This window comes from Homo sapiens, chromosome 12, assembly GCF_000001405.40.
Source record: "Homo sapiens chromosome 12, GRCh38.p14 Primary Assembly".
In the NCBI taxonomy this organism is placed as follows: domain Eukaryota; kingdom Metazoa; phylum Chordata; class Mammalia; order Primates; family Hominidae; genus Homo; species Homo sapiens.
Genome location: NC_000012.12, coordinates 15,254,121 through 15,272,386, shown reverse-complemented (window position 1 = coordinate 15,272,386; position 18,266 = coordinate 15,254,121). Strand labels below are relative to the sequence as shown.

The following is an 18,266-nucleotide window of genomic DNA, read 5'->3' as shown; positions in this document are numbered from 1 at the left end:
CTAAGAGAGGAAGAGAGTCTTGACAATATCATATCAATACTCAGATTTATACATGTAGAAGCTAAGCCTCCTTATACTTCCTGATAATATTAGTTCTGGTTAGCACAACTTTCATGGTAGCATTCACTATCATGGAATGGTATTTTATATGGTAAATGTTTGTGTAGATGAGTGTTATATATACTCATCTAATCCTGACAACCACTCTGTTAGGTGTGTATTAATATCTTCCATTCTATAGATGAGAAATGGAGTAATAAGGAGGACACCAAAGTTTGTTCCAAGTCACATAGGTAGTAAGTAGCAGAGCCACGATGAAAACAGAAGTCTCAAGCTATGCTCCTGACCTGACATCATATTGGAGGATTTAACTTGGCTCTACCAATGTTGTTTTGAGTGCACACAGACACAGGACTTAGGAGAGAGATCAGAACTCAATGCAGAGCTGAAGCACTGAGAAAGCTAAAAGCAAAGTCACTCTGGGATAACAGGCAAAGTAAGAACTTGGCATTTTTCAGGTCTATTGGAGAAGGCGAAACCTTATAAAAGTATTGATGACAAAATCTAGAAGCAATTACAATTTTACATACTGAGAATCTTTTACAAATCGTGATAAAGGTTTTGGTACAAGAAAATGGGGTTGCAACACGAACTGGATCAGAACAGCATAGAAAATCTGGAGAAAATTCAATATCACTTTTAAAGCACAGGAAAAAACCCAAATGCAGATTGGCCAGTAACTAACTGAGACATTTTGTCTGCTATCTTATATTTTTACTTGTTCCGGATTTTATATATATATGTGTGCGTGTGTGTGTGTGTGCAGACACATATGTACACACACGTCTGTATAAAATATATATGTGAAAAAAATGCATATATGTATATATGTATAAATATATATATGTTCACACACACACATATATATAGAAAGAGTGAGGTTATGAAGTAAATTGCTCATATATACTATATATTGTATATGAACAATTTGTATATGTATATATACTAAATAAATGACTATAACTCTTATTCCATAATAGGGGTTTGATCTTTGGTCTTTCTCAATATATCACTAACTGGATGTTAGGAAATCCCAAGTTAATGAAATCCTTCTGGTATTGCTATCAAAAGACTGGATTGTTTATTCCTTGCCTGACTTTTGCAGCCTAATTTAAATACTTAATATAAACAATATTGACAGCTAATGGAATGCAATTTCAACAGTTTCTATCATTCTTTAGTAGAAGGGTGTAGGAATGAATTAATTTCCTATCACTGCCACAACGCATTACCACACATCTAGTGGCAAAGAAACAACACAGATGTATTAACTTGCAGTTCTCTAGATTAGGAGTTTGACATGGGTCTCACTGGGTGATATGGTTTGGATCTGTGTCCTCATCAATATCTCATGTTCGATTGCAATCTCCAGTGTTGGAGGTGGAGCCTGGTGGGAGGTGATTGGATCATGGGGGCAGTTTCTCATGAATGGGTTGGTACCATCCCCTCCATGAACCTCCCTGCAACTCTCTTCCTCCTGCTCTAGCCATGTGAGACATGCCTGCTTCCCCTTCGCCTTCCACCATCATTGTTAGTTTCCTGAGACCTCCCCAGAAGTGGAGCAGATGCTGTTACGCTTCCTGTACAGCCTGCAGAAACATGAGCCACTTAAACCTCTTGTTTTCATAAATTACCTAGTCTCAGGCATTTCTTTATAGCAGTGCAATAACGGACTAACATATTGGGCTAAAATCAAAGTGCCCTCAGGGCAGTGTTTCTTTCTGAGAATTATTAGGAAGAATCTGTTTTCTGGCCTTTTCCAGTTTTTAGAGGCTGCCCTCTTCACTCCTGGCCCTCTTTCTCCATCTGCAAAGCCAGCAAAGTCAGGCTGAGCTTCTTCTCATGCTACCACCTCTGGTGCTCTCTCCTGATTCTCTCTTCCACTTTTAAAGATCCTCATGATTACATTGGGCCCACCTCAATAAGCCAGGCTAAACTTTCTATTTTAAGGTCAGCTGATTAGCAACTATAATTTTATCAGCAACCTTAGCCTGACTTTGCTATGTGATATAGCATATTCACACATTCTAGGGGTTAGAATGAGGAAACAAAACATCATAGGTGTTTTTACATTCTGTATTTGCATGAGCTTCAAATACATGAAAATTATGCAGATCAGCTTCTTTATTGTGAATCTAGTTAATATTGTTTACATTTTTAAAAGACTAGTATATAAGATTCCTTAAAATGGTACATTTGATATCAGGTATCCTGGGATCAAATAAAATATTTCTATTATTTTTTATTCATTATTATTTCTATTATTCTACTACTATTATTATTACCTATTATTTCTACCTCAACTCATCCAGTATTAATTATCTTTTAAAAAAATTATAATTTCTTTTAATGAGTTGAACATTGTGATTCATTAATGATATGTTTATTTAACAGTAGGACATGTTTGTGGAAGATGATGTTTGTGTATGTAGTACTTGAATAAATTTTCTCACATGACACATAACATTTGATAAATTAGGAAATAGAATACAGTAGAAAAGATGACTAAATGATGTTATTTTGTAAAAATCGTAGACTTGACCGTTTTCTTTTATAAGCGTCTAATCATTCTCATGCAAAAGAAGAGAAATTCCATTATCCTATCTCTTATTCTAGCTAGAAAGTATACAACAGTGTGACTTCCAGCATAAAACAGATGAAGAAAATAATTGTTGACCAAATACACAAAGATGAAAGGAACATTAAATCTATAAAATCAATTTATTTGTACATTATGCTCAATATTCTTTTTTGCTCATCTATTTAATTCCATATGTATTCATTGAACACAAGGCAAGGCCCTCTTTAGTAATGAGGCACTATTGAGAAAACAGCTCCCAGGCAATAAAAGAGGTGGACATATATAAATGATGCTGATATGAACCAGCTGTGATAAATAGTATGACAGAAGTGGAAATCTTACTAGTGCACAAGCTGCATGAAGGCAGAGGTTTTACTAAACCCAAAGCTAAGAAATATACTCAATGATATGAATAGAATGTGCTATGGGAATATAAACAAGAAAACACAAAATGCCATGAGACAGCAGAGAGAAAAAAGGCTTAGACACCACGATTTTGGAAAGTTTCACACATTCAGAATTTAAGAAAAAATTGAGAATTGAAATGGGTTTCATGCTCCACCCTTGACTTCTAAAAATGTTATTATCCCTCTCTGACACTAGGTGGCACTACAGATGCAGGCATGGGCAGAAACACGTGAAAGATTTGTGCCTACCTACTTATGATGGGATTCTTCTGCCTCCTGCTGCACTTTGCCTGGGGTAGCCAGACTACAGGAAGACAAATGCTGAAAGGAATAATATCAGTGGGGATTTTGTTCAGGAACAGGAATTCTATCCCAAACTTGGATTTTAATCAATATTCCTTTGATTAAAGGTACAATTTTTAAATTAAAAATTTTCAAGACTTTAAGTTTGAATTATAAATCTTATTTTATTTTTACATTTAGTAACTTTGAAAAAATGCTTTTCTGAATTTGATATGTGAGATCAAATTCTTTTTCAAACAACACCATTTTATGTATTTAATAAAATTGCCTTGGATATGTTAAACTACAATGACAACTTTAATACATCTGTATTATCTCAAATGTTTAATTGACTAAGATATATACAGATTTTATTTTAAACACTCAAATACAGATCTAACAACATCTTGCTAAGTACTGAAATTGTAGAAATTGTAAATCAAGTAAATCAGACTTACAAACATAGTAGATCAAATTCTTCTAAGCATTTCCCAATGGCTTGAGGCCCAGACCACACACACAACACATCATGATTCCCTCCCTACTAACTAGACTAAACTGGAAATGATGCTATAGGCTCTTTTGTATGGTCACATTTTTTGTTTCCAGTGAACAGGGGCTTTCTAAAACTCAGTCTTTTCCTCTGAAATTAACTGCTTAATTTTATGTTTGCAATGCTGTGCCTTTCTCCTAGGTAACCTGTCCCTGACATTCAAAGGGGATTTTCCCAGCACTTTGGGAGGCCGAGGCGGGCGGATTGCCTGAGCTCAGGAGTTCGAGCCCAGCCTGGGCAACATGGTGATACTAAAATACAAAAAAAACCCAAAAAATTAGCAGGGTGTGGCACCTGTAATCCCAGCTACTCGGGAGGCTGAGGTAGGAGAATTGCTTGAACCCAGGAGGCGGAGATTGCGGTGAGCCGAGATCATGCCACTGCACTCCAGCCTGGGTGACATAGCAAGACTCTATCTCCATTAAAAAAAAAAAAAGGAGGGGGGTGATTTTCAGGTCCTGGTGCTTATAATCCCTTTTCTATAATTATTGTGTTATCTCTTCATATAGGCCTAGTGTGTGGTGATGGAATTTAGAACTCCTTCCTTAGGTTGGTTACATCCCTTTTTACTTTCATTGTATATGTGCCTCACTCATCCACACTTTACGGACGTTTAATTAATACAAGCCTATAACTTCCCTTTTATCCTAGAGCAAGGGAAGCAAAACTGTGTCTCAAATAGACTTCCCAGCACTGGACACCAGAGTCAAGAGGCACAGGTTTGAGCCTTTGATCAAAATGGTGCCAGACATCCAAGTCTCAGCAGTTGATCCTGAAATATGGTGAACTCTTCCAGCTTTGAACTCACTTCTGCTTTCACATGTTGTCTGCCCACCATGACCAAAAGTATCAGACATTTTTGTCTGGTACCAACAGCATCAGAGACTATCAGAGATCATATTCACTCAACCCTGTAATTCTACACAGAAGGGATCTGTGGTTTCTCTGTTGACCTGGTGGGCAGTGGTGGAGTTAGGACTAGAACTCAAGTATTATTTTCTTTCTCTGCAACTCCACTTGTATGAGATGCTGGTTTATAGGGACAACTTTTGTCTTATGTAGTTATAGAATATTAAAGAGTCATTTTGTCTAATCCACTTATTACGTAAAAGAAGAATCAATTGCCCCAAGAAGAATCAATTGGCATAGCTAGTGACCTTAGGGAATGACTTGATTTTGTGAGCTTTAATGATAGCTGCTATTTATTGAAAAAGTACCATGTACTAGAAATGTAACTGCTGTTTTCCATGTATAGCAATAATATTGTGAAAAAGGTATTATTGACTAATTAACAGATTAAGTAATTGAGACAAAAAGTTAGTTAACTTCTTTAAGGTAAGAAAAGAGATGAGGAGTCCAGGCGCGGTGCCTCCCACCTGTAATCTCAGCACTCTGGGAGGCTGAGGCGGGTGGATCATCTGAGGTCAGGAGTTCAAGACCAGCCTGGCTAACATGGTGAAACCCTCTCTCTACTAAAAATACAAAAATTAGTCAGGTGTGATGGTGCACAGCGCCTGTAATCCCAGCTACTCGGGAGGCCAAGGCAGGCAAATTGCTTGAACCCAGGAGGCAGAGGCTGCAGTGAACCCAGCATGCCACTCCAGCCTGGGTGACAGAGCAAGACTCTGGGGAATAAAGATGAGGAATTAAACTAGCGTTAACTCTTCTGAACTTGAAAGCCTCTCTATTATTAGCATTTTTGTTTAGTTTTAGTTTAGCTGGATTTTTTAAAAATATAGGACTTATCAGGAGTTTATTACCAAATTGTTATGGAAGTTATTTATAATCTCTTATCTAGGTAGTTTACTGATTTTTAAGTCAAATTTCAATTGACTGTCTGATATGGTTTGGCTCTGTGTGTCCCAACCCAATTCTTCATGTTGAATTGTAATCCCCATGTGTTGGAGGAGGAGCTTGGTGGGAGGTGATTGGATCATGGCGGGGGGGCCTCCCCCTTGCTGTTTTTGTGATAGAGTTCTCATGTGATCTAGTTGTTTAAAAGTGTGTAGCACTTCCCGCTTCACTCTCTCTGTCTCTTGCTGCCATATGAAGATGTGCCTGCTTCCCCTTCGCTTGCAGCTGTGATTGTAAGTTTCCTGAGGCCTCCCCAGCCATGCCTTCTGTATAGCCTGTGAAACTGTGAGTCAGTTAAACCTCTTTTTTTTTAATAAATTACCCAGTTTTGGGTAGTTCTTTATAGCAGCATGAGAATGGGCTAATAAACTGTCGTTCAATAATTTATATGACATAGGCCCCTGGATGGGGTCCTACAACAATGGCTTCTATTTATCTACAAGTAGACAGAGTGAGAAATAATTTTTATGTTCTAAGATTTCTGGAATACATCTTAGGATGTAGCCTCTGCATCTAATGGCATGTGGTGTAGGAGTCCATAGATAGGTAATCCTGGGCTGATGCAAGTGTTCAGCAATGCTTATTGGGATTTGGGTTTGGTCCAAGTTCTGCTCCACAATCCATGATATGTTTGCTTTAGTCCCCATGCTTGCTGCATCACACCTGCCAACATCTCCACAACATTCTGTACAAGCAGAAAAGATCCCTTTGTGTCAAGAAAGCAAAAGTTTTCCAAGCAGCCCTACCCAGCAGACTTCCACTTTTGTCTCTCCCCACTTCCATAGAGGCTCCTTAAGTTACTAGGGGGAAGAGAATTATGAGGAAGGGTTGGCTCAGGCATCACACAGAAGATTTTGGATTACCAAAAACCTCTGAAATTTAGAAAAAAAAAAGAGTGATCCTGAGGTAAAAATGCAATGATAAATTCCGAAAAGTATAATCCCATTTATATCCTTATCACTTCAGCAGAACCAGGAAATAGTTGCAGGCCTGCCCTCTCTAGAGCACTATGCCAAGTTGAGTGAGAGGCCAACTCCACAGAAGAGGGATAGTCTATAATCTGTCTCACAGAGGGATTCGTTCTTGAGGATGCATACTTTCACATGACAGTTTTTTAGAAGTAAATCAAGGTAACCACTGACATACTCATTCGCACTAAGTTGAATGTAGAAAATTTCTTCCTCAAGTTTTAGAGCAGACCTCATTTATGCACATTTTTGTATGAAAAAATATATACCTTAAAAGTATATAAAAAAGAAAAAGTATAATTGCACAAGCATGTCAAACAACGACTGGCACAAGGGGAGCAGATACTACTAATTCCTTACCAAATATCTATCTTCTTCTTTTTTCTTAAACAGAATCTTGTCATTGTTGCTGTTTTTACTCTTCTGGACTGTGCATTTAGAGGTAGGCAAGTGACAAATTTCTACCTAAAGATTGAAGCCATTGGGTGGGACTTCCCCAAATAGAAAACAAAGATTAGAATTTTTAAATTGTGAAATATAACTAGAGAAAAACAAATAATGTGCTGATTTGGTTTAACAAATAATCATAAAGCAAACACTTATGTAACCATCTGTATCATATTTTAAAAATTTTGTTTGTGATGGTCATCCGTATTGTTGTGCGTAGCTTTACTTTTTTTTCATTGCTGCAAGAAATACAGTTGGCCTTCAGTATTCATGAGACATTGGTTTCAGGACTGCCCATGGATAACAAAATCAGCACATACTCAAGTCTCACAGTTGGCCCTGCAGATATGAAAAGTTATACCTCCCTATATAAGGGTTTCACATTCTGTGAATATTGTACAGTATTTTTGATCCACGTGTGGATGTGGAACCTGCCCATACAGAGGTCCTACCGTTTTTACTGAAAAATAAAATTCCTATGTAAGTGGACCCATGCAGTTCAAACCTGTGTTGTTCAAGGATCAACTGTATACACTGATCTATTTATTTACTTTGCTATTGATAGATTTAGTTTGTTTCTCATTTAGCTTCTAATTACACGTTTGTGTATGTATCCTGGGTGACTAGAAATCATTATACACACTGATTAGTCACTAGGATATACACCTGACAGTAGAATTTCTGAATTAAGAAATAATGTATACATTTAACTTACCAGATGATATCAAGTTGTTCCAAACTGTTTGGAAAGTGGTTGTCAAAAGTAGTAGATGACAGGATAGTTCTATTGCTCTACATCCTCACCATTCATTGATATTTTTGTACTATTGCCAATCTGATCGGCGTGCAGAAATAGATTATTATTATTTTGATTTTTCTAATTACTAGCTTGGTCACATTTTCTTAGGTTAATTAACCATAAATTAGTTTGCTTGGGCTGCTGTAACAAAGACCACAAACTGGGTGGCTTAAACAGACACTTATTGTCTCACAGTTCTGGAGGCTGGAAGTCTGGGGCGCTAGCAGTGTTGGTTCCTTCTGTGGGTTGTGAGAATCTCTTCTGTGCCTCTTGCCTTGCTCCTGGTGGTTTGTTGGAAATCTTTTGTGCTTCTTGGTTTACAGATGCACCAGCCCAATCTCTGCCATGATGTCCACACGGCAATCTCCCTGTTGGTGTGTCTCTGTCCATATTTCCTCTTTTTATAAGGCAATGATCATATTGAGTTAGGAGCTCAGCTTACTTCAGTGTGATCTTGTCTTAACTAATTACGTAAGCAACAATCCTATTTGTAAATTTTATTGCATTCTGCAGTATTGGGGGCTAGCACTTCACTATGTGAATTTTTGAGAGACACAGTTTAATGCATTACAGGTTGCCTGGATCTCATCTTTTGTAAGGAAACCATTAAAGCCTTATTTACTCATTTTCTTTTAGGTGGTGGTGTATTTATTCTTGATTTGTAAGATTTCGCTGGTATACCAGATCTTTTTTCAAGATATATGTGTTGCAATCATAACCTCTCTTTCTATGGCTTATCTTTTCACTCTCATTAATATTGTTTTTATGAATGGGTTTTAAAAATTTGAATGTGTTTGAATTTTTTGATTTTTCCTTTTTACTTAGTGACTTTTGTATATTGTTTAAGAAATATTCTCCTACTCTACTTCATGGAGATATTTTCTTATCTCCTAAAGTTTTATAGATTTGTCTTTCACTTTCAGGCTCTTCATCTATCTGGAAATACCATTTAAATTTTTTTTTCAAGTGGTCATTTCACTGTCCCAGTTCTATTTGTTGAAGCTTGCCAATTACCCATTGGCACATTATGGTGTCTCTGTCATTTTGTGTCCATATATGTGAAGGCCTGTATTTGAACTCCTGATCTGTGTCACTAGTCTATGCTCCTTATCTCTGTGCTAAAAAAAAAAACACTGTCTTAATTACCATAGCTTCAAGCAAATTCTATTATCTGATAGATGACTTTTTTGTCTAATATGTCTTCTTCAAGAGGATCTTGCCTGTTCTTATCTCTTCTCATTTTTATGAGAATCTTATGAAATTTATAGATTAATTTTGATAAAATTTACATCTGAAAAATATTTTTTCCCATAAACATGGCATATCTTCCTTTTACTTTTGGTCTTTTTAATATTCTTCAATAAAATCATAATTTTCTCTATGGAGATTTTCACATATTTTATGAATTCCTAATATTTTTAGATTGTTTAATGCTATTGTAAGTGATACTTTTTTCCTAGTTATTTGTTTCTGTTAATAGAAATACAATTGATATATGTATATTTAGGTTGTATCCAGATACTCTACTAAATCCTTTTGTTAATTTAAAAATCTATTTAGATTATTCTAGATTTCTATGTTTACAATCACATTACCTATGAATCGTGAAAGTGTTGTATTCCCTTTCAAATTATTTATATCCAGTTTTCCCAAAACTACTTATCAAACAGACTATCCTTTTCATGTTGTATACTCTTGGGCCATTATCAAAGATGAGTTGACTGTTATCTTAGTCCATTTGTGCTGCTACAAGAGAATACTACAGACTGGGTAATCTATAAAGAATAGAAATTTATTTCTCACAGTTGTAGAGGCTGACAAGTCCAAGATTAAGGTACCAGGAGGTTTTGGTTATCTGGTGATGTCTATATTCCCTGCAAAAGAGAAACTTATGACTTCACATGGCAAAAATCCAAAAGGCAAGCTGCTGAATGCTGCATGAAATCTCTTTTATGAAGACTTTAGTCTCATTTATGTGGAAGGAGCCCTCATGGTGTATTCTTCTTTTAAAGGCCCAACCTCTTAATGCCATCATATTGACAACATCTGAATTTTCGAGATTACACAAACCGTAACAACTGCATTTGTGTGTGTTTGTTTCTGGGTTCCCTATTCTGTTCCATTGGTTCATGTGTTTGTTTTTATGCCATTAACAAACTGTTTTGATTACTACACATTGTAATATGGTTAGAAATCAGGAAGGACGAGGCCTCCAGCTTTGTTCTTCTTAGTCAAGAGTATGTTGTCTATTTAGGGTCTTTTGTAATTTCATAAGAATCTTAGGGTTGTTTTTGCAATTTCTGTGAAAATTCCTACAGGAATTTTGATAAGGATTTCACTGACTCTGTGGATTGCTTTATGTAGTATAGATATTTTAACAGTGCTAACCTTCCAATCCATGAGCATGAGATATCTCTCCATTTACTTGTGTCTTCTTCAATTTCTTTCATCAATGTCTTAGAGTTTTATTGTACAGATCTTTTACCTCCTTGGTTAAATTTATTCCTAAGTATTGTATTTGTTTTGATGCTATTCTAAATTGGGCTGTTTTCTTATTTTTTGGAATAGCTTGTCATCACCATATAGAAATACAATTGATTTTTATATATTGATTTTTATATCTTGCTACTTTACTGAATTTATTTATTAGTTCTAACAGTTTTGGGGGGAATCTTTAGAGTTTTCTATACATAAGATTATGTCATCTGCACCCAGACAATTTAACTTATTTCTTTCTGATTTGGATGTATTTTATTTTGTTTTCTTGATTGATTACTTTGGCTAGGACTTTGAATACTATTTTAAATGGTAGTGGTAAGAATGGGCACTTTCGTTTACTCCTGATCTTAGAGGAAAAGCTTTCAGATGTTCACCGTTAAGTATGTTGTTAGCTGTGAGCTTGTCATATATGGCCTTTAGTATGTTGAGATATATTTATTCTATCCTTAAGTTATTATCATGAAAGAGTGTTGAATTTTGTCAAATACATTTTCTGCATCTGTTGAGATGATAATATGAGTTTTATCCTTTATTTTATTAATGTGGTGTACCACATTTATCGATTATGTTGGACAATTCTGGCATCCCAGAAATAACTCCCACTGCATCATGGCGAATGATCCTTTTAATGTGCTGTTGGATTCATTTGCTAATATTGAGGATTTTTGCATCTATGATTATCAGGGATATCGGTCTGTAAATTTCTTTTCTTGTAGTGTCCTTTTCTGGCTTTGGTCTCAGGGTAATGCTGACCTTATAAAATGAGTTTGGATTTTTAAAAAATTTTGAAAAGGATTGGCACCAGTTCTTTTTAGAATATTTGGTAGAATTCAGCTGTGCAGCTATCATGTCCTGAACTTTTACTTGGGCATCTTTGTTATATTTTTATTAATTTTTTTCAAAGAATCAGGTTTTAGTTCTATTCTTTTTGTGTTTTACATTCCATTGAATTCTGCTCTTAATTTTACTGTTTCCGTTTGCGTGCTTTGAGTTTAATTTGTTCCGCTTTTTTTTATGGTTTCTTAAAATCTTATAATATTGTTTCAGAAACGTCATTGTTTTTAAAAATTGGCATTTAATGTTACATAAATGTCAATTTAAGCACTGTTTTAGGTGTGTTCCATATGTTGTGTTTTCTTTTTCATTCAGTGCAAAATATTTTTAAGTTTCTATTGCTATTTGCTCTTTGACCTATGGGCTATTTTAGAGTGTGTTATTTAGTTCCAAATATTTGAGCATTTCCAGATTTCTTTCTGTTATTTATTTTTATTTTAATTCCATTTGGTGAGATAGCATATGTTGCCTGATTTCAATTGCTCAAAATTTGTTGATGTTTCTTTATAGCTGAGAACACAGTGTATTTTGGCAAAAATTTCATGTGCATATGCAAATATGTATTTAGTTCATGTTGTATAGTGTATTCAAAATATTAATTAGGTCAAGTTGTTGATAGTGTTATCCAGGTTTTCTTTTTTTTCTTTTTCTTTTTTTTTTGGAAACAGAGTCTTGCTCTGTCACCCAGGCTGGAGTGCAATGGCACGATCTTGGCTCACTACAACCTCTGCCTCCCTTGTTCAAGTGATTCTCCTGCTTCAGCCTCCAGAATAGCTGGGATATTACAGGTGCCTGCCAACATGCCCAGCTAATTTTGGTATTCTTAGTAGAGATGGGGTTTCACCAAATTGGCTAGGCTGGTCTCGAACTCCTGACCTCAGGTGATCCACTCACCTCAGCCTCCCAAAATGGTGGGATTACAGGCGTGAGCCACCGCGCCCAGCCTATGTTGTCCAGGTTTTCTATATCCTTACTGATTCCCATTTACTTATTCAGTTACTGAAATAGGAGTATTGAGATGTCCAATACAATTGTAGATTTTTCTATTTCTCTTTGCAGGTCTACCAGTTTTTGCTTCATGCATTCTGAAATTGCGTGGTTTGATGCATATACATATAGAATTTTTAGACCTAATTGATTACTTGATTCTTTTATTATTATATAATACCTCTTTTTTGCTCTGGAACTATTTGTTTTGAAGTCTGCTTTGTCTGATATAAGTAGTGATTATAGCTTTCCTGAGTTAATGCTTTCATACTATAATTATTTCCCATCCTTTAACTTTAAATCTCTACACATCTTTATAATTAAATAGGATTTCTTGTAGACAGCCAGTGGTTGGAATTTTTTAACCAATCTCTCAATGTCTGCCATTTGATTTGAGTGTTTAGACATTTACATTTTATATAATTCTTAATATAATTGTATTTGTATTTACTAATTCATGAGTGTATTCTATTTGAACACATCCAAGTTCATTCACCTTTCTTCTTTTTTTGGCTTTCTTTTGGATTAATTGAATATTTTTAAAAATAGCTTTACTTAAGTTTTACTATTGGTTTATTAGTTGTATATGTTTTAGTACTTTCTTTATAGATTACAATAGAAACCATTAACTTACCATGTTTACCTTTAAATATTTACCACCTCATTTAAAGTGGGCAAGAACTTTACAATCATATACTTTCAAGTTTTTCCCCCTTCTTCTTTACATGATTGTTGTCATGCAATTTATTCTGAACAGGATTATTGGATGAAAAACTTAGTTTTATATGTTTTAAACCTATGATTTTTACTTTAGACATTCAATTATCTTTTAATTATGAAAAATTAGATTAAAACATCTATCTTATTATCCTCATTTTTATCATTTCGTGCACTCTTTATTTCTTTGTGTGGATCCAAGCTTTGATCTGGTCTCACACTCCTTATACCTGAAAGTCTATTATTACAATTTTTTAAAACATACAGTTCTACTAGCAGTCAATTCTCTTGTTTGTTTTTCTGAAAACACGTTTATTTCATCTTTTGACATTTGTATCTCTCATTTTTAAAAATATGTTCGCTGGGTATAGAATTTGGGGTTGACAATATTTTACAGATAACACTTTGACTTCTGGTGCATGATACAGTCATATAGTACAGTATAGGGTAACATAATGTAGTATAATATAGTTTCTAATGAGAATCCTGCTATAATTCTTGTTGTCATTTTTGTGTATTTTGTTTATAACATTTCTTTTTCTTTCCTCTGTCTGCCTCTAGGATTTTTTCTTTAGCTTTGGTTTTTAGCAGTTTGACTGTAATGTATCTACTTTTTAGAATTATCATGTTGATATTTTCTCAGCTTCTGGACCCATGGTTTGATATCTTCCACTATTTTTGGTACATTTTGGCAATTATATTTTCACATAATCTTCTGCTCTGTTCTGTCTCCTCCAAGATCAGCAAGTTTATATATGTCAGGCTGACAAATATCCTACAGCTTTTGGATGTCCTTTTCTGTTGTTTCCCCTTCTCCACTCTATTTTCTCCTTGTGTTTCAGTTTTGGTAACTTTTATTGAATTATTTTCATGTTCACTCATTATTTCTTCTGCTCTTTCAAGACTATTGATAGGCTACATAAAAGAATTATTCACCTCTGATATCATGGTTTTTTAAAAAAATTCCAAGTCATTTTACTTGACACTTTCTTATAGCTTTCATCTCCCTGCTGAATATTAGAAAGGGACATTATATTGGTGTCTGAAACCTATTATTGGAGTTGCTGAAATCTTGAACAACATTGCATGGTATCCTGCTACTTTGAGAGAAAGTTTTAAAGCCAAAATGAAAAAAAAAATTACCCATGGAACTCCAGAGAACAAATTAACTTTCATTTGTTAATAAAATAAAATTTCATTTTATGTTAAATTAATTTTAACATAAAATGAAAAATGGCATACAGGAGTATTAGAAATATAGCTTCTGCCTTGTTTAAATATAACAATATTAAAGCGTTACATAAGAATACAGGAATCTCTTCCTGTGCTCTGGGATAAAAGGGTTCTCCACTCCTGCCCTAGAGGCTGAGCTTTTTGGCAACATAGGAGGGAAGAATCCAGGGAAGTGGGTGATGATTTGTGTTTGACTCCAGAAGCATCCAATCACCTTCTCACATATGCACTACTAAGCATGGGGCTCTTGCCAATTTCTTCGCTTTTCTCCAGTCTTATAAGTACCCAGTAAAGAACCATGAAAGAGATTGTGAATGTATATAAATTCCTCTTTGTCTGGGTCCCCCAGTTATTAATAATTGATATGCTAGCTAGAATCAGCTTCATAAATAATTCCAGGCACAAACAATCAAAACCTACTTCAATCAATGTAAAAGTGTCCACTTTAAAAGCCACTAACTTCTCTTATCTCACAAAGATTTTTCCCTAGAATGGAAAATTATTAAGGCTAGTTTTACATTCAGGTTCAGTAATAAGGATACTCATTTTTTCACTCATTTAAAAATTATTTATTGTCTGTTTATTTCATACCAGGCATTTTTCTCATTGCTTTGGATAAAAAAAGTACCAAAACATATAGACACGCATTTTGTTTTCAAGGAAAAATCATTCTAATGTGCAGAAAGACAATAAAAAAGTAATTTCCCAAGATATAAAATGATAGAGATATAGATACATATGTTAGAAGGTATATCTATATACAGTGCACTGTATCCTTGAAATGTTATTTCCTCAATATAGACAATGTTTTAAGGAAGATAATTTGTGAATTCTGTCAAATGCTGCTGATTAGTTAAGTAGGATGAGAACTGAGAATTGGACAGTGTTCTGATTTAGCAATGTAGAGGGGATTGGAGAGAAGATTTAGAAGAAAAAGGAGAAGAGGGATTAAATCATGAAAATAAAGCCTGCTTTAGGGAAGTCTTGAGAAAAAAAATGAAGCAGATAAACAATATTTTATGACCACAGAATGTTCAGCAATTTGAACAGTAATTTCCCAGTTGTTGTTTCCTTTGAAACTATCCATGAGACGGAAGCAATGATTTCCCATTTCAAAATTAGGAAATTGAAACTCAATACTATTATGCAACTATCAGATGCCAGAGCTGGAAACAGAATCCAGTTCTGACGTCCAGTCCAAGCCATTCTAGATTGCACAATGGAGACGTAACCCACAATGAAAATAAATTCTGCCTGCTTAATTGTTCTGCTTGGGGCCACGCTCAGCTGAGTTCATTGTGCAGCTTAGTCCACTAGCTGATGTTTTGCAGGTTGGTAAAATAATTTGTTTATTCTGCTGCAGGAATCCTGTGGGTGTTCAATATGTGTTAATTTATTTGACTAAGTCTCAGAGGAGAGTTGTAAATCCCAGCATGTTTCTTTATTGAAGAATATAACCACAATTCACACATAATCACTATAATCACATATTTATTCCTCAAAGTAAGATCCCTTTGATGTTCTCAGTGACAATTGGGGACCTTATTTCAGTTGACGCTTGTAATGTAGAATCATCCAAAGGGCCATTATTGTTCCAATTAGCATATAAGTTTAATTTAATATTTATACCAGTTAGAAGAAATTTTTCAAGTACATTTTATTCTTCCCTGGCCCTTGGAATTTCATTTTTGGACAAAACTAGTTAAGTCCAAATTAATGGCCATCAGATATATGGAAAGGATATTTTGTCAGAGAGAGATATATAAATATGTACTTACATTCTTATGCTGTAAACAAGGCATTTATGAGAGTTCATCAGACCACCAAGTGAAATTGTTGGCTGTGTCTTTGTGTTGCTACACTCCAGTACAGAGGAAGAAAGCGATGTGTTTCTGGAATGGAGGGTCAGTAACAGCAAATAATGTTTTAAAATGAGAAATGATAATGCTATAGAAAAATAGAGGAATAATCCTCCAATCAGACACATACATGCGCATGCACCTGCACACACACACACACACACACACACACACACACGCACGCACTACTTGCTACTAAATAGAGGAAATGGAGAATTGGAGAGACATACATGTTGAGGACCTGCTACAACCCTGTAGGTTTCCATTTGCTGAGACGTGAGAAACTTGTGTCTTAAAATATTGAACAGGCTGACGTAGGCTTGCACTCCACCTCAGAGAATTAAGGTAGCAACTGTTTTAGATGGAATTGCACTATGAGAGCTGAAAACAAAGAACTCTCTTTAGTTTCTAATTAGATAGAGAGCCAAGATCATGAGTATTAGAATTCTGCCTGCCCACAAGAGGGGCTCTGGAGCAAAAGACTCCAACCTAGACTCTGAAAAACACAAAAAAGGACGTATGAAGACCGATTGTTTCCTGGTAGCAGTGCCACTTTCAGGATACTAGAGGTTGGTTGTGGAGTTGGAAATAGTGTGTTTCCAATTTTGAACACTTCGCAGAGCTTTCCAGAGTCCTTTCTGTATTGTTGTGATTTTGCTTCTGGAGCTGTGGAGCTTGTAAAGTCACACTCGTTCTACAGAGCAGCCCAGTGTTTTGCCTTTGTTCATGATGTATGTGATGATGGCTTACCTTACCCTTTTCCAGATGGGATCCTGGATGTCATTCTCCTTGTCTTTGTGCTCTCTTCTATTCATCCTAACAGGATGCAAGGTGTTGTAAACCTACTGTCCAAGTTACTGAAACCTGGGGGAATGCTGTTATTTTGAGACTATGGAAGATATAAGAGTCAGCTTCGTTTTAAAAAGGGACATTGTTTATCTGAAAATTTTTATGTTCGAGGAGATGGTACCAGAGCATATTTCTTTACAAAAGGGGAAGTCCACAGTATGTTCTGCAAAGCCAGTTTAGATGAAAAGCAAAATCCGGTTGATTGCCACTTACGAGTTAATAGGAAAAAACAAGTAAAAATGCACCGAGTGTGGGTTCAAGGCAAATTCCAGAAACCATTGCACCAGACTCAGAATAGTTCCAATATGGTATCTACACTCCTTTCTCAAGGCTGAACTTTGTAACATGTTAAGGTACAAAGCCAGAGGACTGTGCTATTCAAGGACTACTGTAAGGTTTTCGTTTCTCAAAAGACAATGAGAAAAAAAGAAGAGAATTTGTATTTCTTGCTGTTTTGTCATAGGTGAGCTCCTTTGTGCATTTTAAGCACATGTAAGTGATTCAGCACAGTATGCCTTTTTCTGCGCTTTGAAAACTTGATATGCCTAAGCTTGTTTGAATTTATTACATCTAACCATTTTGCTTGTTCCTTGAATTTTATAAGCATTCAATTAAACTGGTATTATGTCAGGTAATTTTGAGAAAACGTAACTTGACATTTTTTGCAAGTAAAAAAATTATTTATTTGTTTAGGCTTAGTAAGCCAGTTCCCAAACACGCACACACACAGACACACACAGACACACACACACACACACACAGACACACACACACACAAAGGGAGGAATTCCTGACCATAATGAAGCTCAAAACCCTCAAAGGGGAGACTAATATTTGCTTAAAAGGATTGTTAACTTCCACATGTAATCTACAGAAATAAAGTTTTTGATGATTATATAATCATACACATATAAACATATATCATGATTGTGTATTTTTTGTATGTGTATCTCTTTACATTAATGATACTTGTAGAGTGGTCAGAGTAAGAAATATCACATTTCTTCATTTCATAAAATCAATTTAAATCCAAACCTAAGCTCCTATGCCACCAGTCTCTCTCACAAAATCCTCAGTGTTCCTCTAGGATTGTGCAAAGGTCCTGGAGTTTTATGCAAAGCAAATATTTTAGGAGGCACTTCCAGTGTGGGATTCATGCTGGTCCCTTTCAGATGCCTGTTGTTTCTAAGTCCTCATAATCCTTTGATGTTCAGGATGCCTGGAGCTCTGGTGCTCCTTTGCAGACTGGTCTTTGTTGGTGCTAAAAGTCAGCTGCCCAAACTCTCTCCTTCACCCCCAGGGCACTGCTAGAAGCAGAGTGAGTTTGCATTGCTCTT

General features: G+C 35.5%; 1 long non-coding RNA gene and 1 pseudogene across 1 annotated transcript in view; both read left to right on the top strand.

The window, feature by feature from the left end:
* The window catches only part of LOC105369673 (uncharacterized), a 79,767-nt gene extending 76,319 nt beyond the window's left edge, over nucleotides 1-3,448 (top strand). The window contains exon 3 of the long non-coding RNA XR_007063224.1: nucleotides 3,245-3,448. This is a non-coding gene — a long non-coding RNA (uncharacterized LOC105369673). The remainder of the gene's footprint in view (nucleotides 1-3,244) is intronic.
* On the top strand, nucleotides 16,564-17,647 carry METTL8P1 (methyltransferase like 8 pseudogene 1; annotated as a pseudogene).